Source organism: Homo sapiens, chromosome 13 (genome assembly GCF_000001405.40).
Source record: "Homo sapiens chromosome 13, GRCh38.p14 Primary Assembly".
Lineage (NCBI taxonomy): Eukaryota > Metazoa > Chordata > Mammalia > Primates > Hominidae > Homo > Homo sapiens.
In genome coordinates, this window is record NC_000013.11 from 39164657 (window position 1) to 39170457 (window position 5801).

General features: G+C 44.2%; 1 pseudogene; it reads right to left on the reverse strand.

Moving 5' to 3' along the window:
• Window positions 1-4775: 4775 nt before the first annotated feature.
• NXT1P1 (nuclear transport factor 2 like export factor 1 pseudogene 1) lies at window positions 4776-5294 on the reverse strand (annotated as a pseudogene).

Consider the following 5801-nt stretch of genomic DNA (forward strand, 5'->3'; position numbering starts at 1 on the left):
CATAAATTAATCTCACTGAAACTATGTTCAATGAAAAAAACCATCACAAAAGACCTCATACTCTATGATTACATTCATTTGAAGCTCAAGAAGCATTAAAACTCATCAATGATGATACAATTCAGAACAGTGGTTATCTCCGTGAGGGTGGAAGATGCCTATAGAATTGGAAAGTGTATGACAGAAACGTATGGGATGCTGGAAGCATTCTGTATCTTGATCTGCATAGTGATTATAGAAAGAGATGCATGTGTACAAATCTCTAAGTGTATATTTATTATTAGTGCACCTTCTGCACTAATGTTTATACTTAAATAAAAATAAATGTAAATAAAACAAAAACGATATGAAATATGAAGGAGGGAGGACCAGGTTAGATACGGAGATGAAGATAGGGAGACTCCTATGTGCCTTGGGTCCAAAACAGGCAAAGAGGGAGCTGGAAATGTCAAACATAACTAAACCAGAACCAACCTAGAACATGCAAATAACATAATGAGTTAGTATATTTCTCTCTAGTGTTTCACTCTGACTAAAGGATGAAGAAGTTTAGAGTTGTGTAAGGCAGGTTCTCTGGGAATAGGCTCTGAGATGGAGATTTATGTGTAGGAGTTTCATTAGGGAGTGTGCTTAGTAATAACACTGGTAAGGAAGTGAAGGAAGCAGGACTGGCCAGAGGAAGAAATAGAATGGTGACGTGATGCATCTTTAATAGAGGTCTCAGCTAATTCACTGGGGACCTCTGGAGCTTGGGTGGTCCTTCAGTGTTCTGAATTGAGACAAACGGGCAAAGCCTTTCCACTCTGCAGCTACCATTTATGCGATGCGGACTTCCCTGGGAAGGGGTGTAAACTTGGGTAAGGTACTCTCTTTGGTCAAGAGAGTACCCAGAGAGGCAGCCAGCTATGAAGTATCAAGAGTCAGCCCTCCTGGCAGCTGGGAAAACTATTGCATTAGTCTGAAAGGGACAATCTGACCAATGCACCAGAGTGTCTACCCCCGGCACCATTTGTTCCTTATAGTAAGTTCACCCCATCTGGGACCAGCTGCTCTAGAGCTCAGAATCCTAGATTCTGATTGGTCTCATTTCCTGGGTAAGCCCACAATAAGAAGGTTAGTGGGATGAGCTACAGACACTAACATTCTACTTGGCTTCAAGGTTATGACTGATTCTCATCATCTCTTTATTGCTAGCCATTCTAGATTATCTCACTGTTGGCTAGCAGCTATACTGGTCTGGGTGGCTTTCCTTATGGGGCGACTGGGACCCACATCCTTGAGGGATTTGAACCCCCAGCCACCATGCCCATCTCAGACTGACTACTTAATGTGCCCATTTACTATTAAAATTAGATGGGAATGTACCAAGACATATCCCTGGGAGCAAATCTATTTTTCCTTGCCCTACTGGAAAATGGAAGCATAAAGTTCCAAAGTGGTCATATTGGTAAACAAGGCCACTGCTACTTCAGTCTCCTTGGATCCTGGTCCATACACTCTACCTATTGAAGACACGGCACCATATAATGTTCCTTTAATTTAGTGTATACTCAGCTTCATCAAAGCTGGCACTCTGTCCTTGCAAGGTGTCATCTTCAGATTGGTGCTTTAGCTTCACCTTTACAAAGTCATTCCATCATTTTATCCACTTTGCAGTTCCTGAGTGGTGCAGTCTATGACAGGATCAGCGGGTTCCATGTGTTCACAGCTGCATCCCTTTTGGTGAAAAGTGGGTCTCTTGGACCGAAGTGATGCCTTGCATTATCCCATGTCAGCAGATCAAACATTCTGTAAGTCTTCAGGTTTGGTGCTGATTGGGACCCAGAGTGAAGGAAAGGTAAACTCATACCTGTTACTATTCCAACCAAAATAAATCCATGCCCCTTCCAGGGTGGAAGAGGTCAAAAGTAGTCAATTTGCCAAATGACTGATTTATTCCTTCTAGGGATATTTCTGTATCGGGGTCAGGGTTGATCTATGTTGCTGGCAGTTTGGGTGTTCAGAGTGACAGAAATTTAGATCAACCTTATGTGTAGGAGTCTATGCTTTTGGCAGCCTTCTTCTCTGACATCATGGGTACTCAACACATGCACTCATTGTGCCAGAACAGGACGGCTGATGACAGAAACCAGCGGACACCAACTGAGTTATTCGGTTTACTTGGTTGTTTGGTGTCTTTTCCATGGGGAATGATCCCAGATGGGTGTTAGAATGCAAGACAAGGTCTTTACACCTTGCAACCACTCCCACAGGTACGCCTACATGCCTCTTCCAAGCCCTCATTCTACCTGTGCTTCTCCTTCTAGACTCCCGACCAACAAGCCTTTGCTATTCACCAAGCCATTCACCGCAGCCATTCATACACAGTCATAGTCCAGATATTTTTATAGCAGAGCACTTCTCTTTCCTGACAAAGTAGGTGACCAGGAACACTGCCCATATCTCTGATAACTGGAATGATTTCCCTTCACCTGTGTCTTTCGATGCCATCTGGGAACGGGGCTATATGAGAGCAGCGGTTTATTTTGGCCTTGCACCCAGATACCAAGCCAACCCCTTCTTAAGCCTCTTTCCTTTTCTGTCAGCTGTCCTTAGGGGACCTACATATGTAGCCATAGATACAAGTTGAAAGAGAGGCAGTTATTGTAGTAAATAATCTAGGGGTCAGGGTTGCTATACTTATACTCTCTGGCTCTGGCTCAGGTCCAGAAACTGAACAAGGATCATAGCATTTTATTGAGATATCTGCCTCAGCTTCCTAATCTTTCTCATTGATTTCTGTTGGTTATACAGAATGAACAGTACACTTGCTGGTTGTCTGTCTACCTTGTCCCGAGGGATTACATGTATTATCAACCAGCGCTCTGTAGGGAAGGCTCCCCTAGTTGCCACTTGACCTTGGCACTTCTAATGATCATTTTATTCACTTGCTTTTGGCTATTCAGCACCTCCAACTTGCCTCAATTATTTCAATATTCTATTGTCCTTGCCGCTATCAGGGACAGAGTTCTGTGACAGCATCACCTATCATCACCCTGGCCTAGAGAACACAGACACCACTGAGCTTCTCGGCAAGACTGGTTTCTTCTGGGTCCTGCCATTGAATATAAAGTCAACTTGTGGGCTTTTAACTTCTATATAGCATGTAAGCATTTTTTTTCTAATATGCCTACTTCCTTGAGTATTTTGATTCCTTACACCACTGTTTGCCACAACCATCTGGTGTTTTTACTTGTTTTTTTTTTTTTTTTTTTTTTTTTTTTTTTTTTTGAGACAGTTTCGTTCTTGTTGCCATGGCTGGAGTGCAGTGGCGTGATCTCGGCTCACTGCAACCTCCGCGTCCCAGGTTCAAGCAATTCTCCCGCCTCAGCCTCCTAAGTTGCTGGGATTACAGGCATGCACCACTATGCCTGGCTAATTTTTGTGCTTTTAGTAGAGACGGGGTTTCACCATGTTGGCCAGGCTGGTCTTTAACTCCTGACCTCAGGTGATCCATCCACCTCTGCCTCCCAAAGTGCTGGGATTACAGGCGTGAGTCACAACACAGGCTAGTGTTTCTACTTTATACAGTGTGGACCATCATTTTCCCTAGGCTTTCCAGAGCCAGCCTACTGACATATGGGCATTGTCTCGTGAGATCTCTGCCATGGTGTTACATTCTGTGCCCCAGAAGAGTACTCCAGTACATGACTTGATCAGCACTCCCTGGACCCAGTCCCATCTTACTCTCCCAGCTCCTGTGGTCTGTGCTTCTTCAGGGTATAGTCCTTTCCCTCCCTTAGGAGGTTCAGCACTTGCACTGTCATCAAAAAGGTTGGTGCTAGCATTTAAAGGAAGGAGTGGGCCACTTCTGCAGGCCCAAAGTGCAGAGAATGACCTGGGGTTTCAAAGTTGCTGAGTGCGTTGACCCAGATGTTCAACCCAAATTCCACCCTCCTCTTCCTTCCTAATTAAGGCTCTGACCTTGGCATAGCAGACTTGCTGAGGTTGATCATTTAATATTCTCTGGACTCCTGAGGCTGATCATCAGCTTTGTTCTGTCCTCTAGCTATAGAGAAGATGAGAGTCTTTTAAAATGTGATAAAGGGGACCCTCTGACTTTTACAACTTACCTTAAATTAGTGATTCATCATTCCGATGGGTTTAAACATATCAGCAGATTTTGACATCTCGGCCAGCTGTTGTGGCTTACTCCTAACAAATATAACGCTGGTAGTAAATGCTGCATGATCTCAGAGGCAAATTCATAAAAGGCAATGCAGCTTCCACGTCACTCTCTTTCCCCTCTTGGGACTTTTCCCCCTAAAAATTCAGCTACCGAGGTGTGATAAATTGAAGCAGTCATGTGAGAGGGCCATGGGTAGGTGTTCTAGCTGAGAGCTAGCATCAACTGCCTGACATGTGAGGGAGCAAGACTTTGCATGATTCCAGATTCTAGCATTTAGGCCACCCCGCCTGAGGCTGATTTATGAACAAAATTAATGTTTTGGTTGCTACTAAGTATTGAGTTGGTTTGTTACAGAGCAATAGATAGCTCTGTAACATTTTTCCCATCATTTTTCTCCAGCACCTCAGTAGCCCTTAGTAACTGCCACCCAGTTCTGCAGGCTTTATCATTACTATTTTCCTAGTATCTTTCGAATGCTTGAGATATTATACCAGCTAGCACCTTCTCTTCCACTTGTATCCCTTCCCAGTTCTTCATTAGTGAAAATCTTTTTTTTTTTTTTTTAGAAAAATAGAAAAGTTGACTACTTTGAAAAGGAAACTATGACAAACAAGTATATATTCAGGAAAGGGACTCCTAGAACTTGAGCAACAAAAAAAAGAGTTCAACCTCAGCACAGTGGAGTCTGCAGTGTCTTTGCAACTACAGAAATGAACTTGTGTTCCTCACATCCTTGAGAGTCGAGATTTGCATTTCTCTACAGAGCTCGGGCTGAATGAAGCAAAGAGACCTCTGCCACCCCCACTAGCTGGCCCAGTCCTGGAAACGGAAGCAGTCACTTGCGATCTTCCACACTGTATTCCTGGGTGAGGCCTGGGCGGTCAGGATGAAGTTCTGGTTGAAGTCCCATTGTTTGTTCCCCTTCAAACTTCACTGATCCACAGATCACAACAAGGACCGTGGTCTGGCTCATTGTGGCTTCATCATGAACAGGCTGACAGTCTACCACGCTGATTTGGAACTCGCTGGAAGGCAACATTTCAAAAAACTCACTCAAAGATTCTTGTCCTGAAACAGCATTGCCGTTCCAGACCAGGGTGGCTGTGCCCATGTACAGGCGGGACAGTGCACAGCTATAGCATGTTGCATGCCAAGGGACATAAGGACTCCACCTACTGCCAGAAAAAGGATCCTCATTGTCATCTGGGCAGAGAATGACACAGCTCCAAAATCCCACTTTAAATTCTGTTTCCAAGGACCACTTGACCACCTTTTGACACAGAGTCCCTGGAGATGAGCTTTGTCTGAGAAGAAAATTTGTGTACAGAAAGTTTATTGGCAATCACACTCAGAAACAAGACACTTAAGAAAATGATGGAATAAAAATTGCGTAGAGATAGAAGCTGACCTGCGATACATACTCAAATTAAATCTTAGTTAATAACATGAAGTTCTCTGCAGCTGAGATGGCTAATGAGAATTGTTCTAAATTCAGAAGAGGAAGCTTGGCCTTTGACCCTTATATCAACATGGCAAGGGGCATGATCTTGAGTGAGGCGTCTCCCAGAGGGCAGCCCCCGGAGAAGGGCGCAGGACTAGCCATCAGGAGCCAACACTCCTAGCAGCTGGGTGA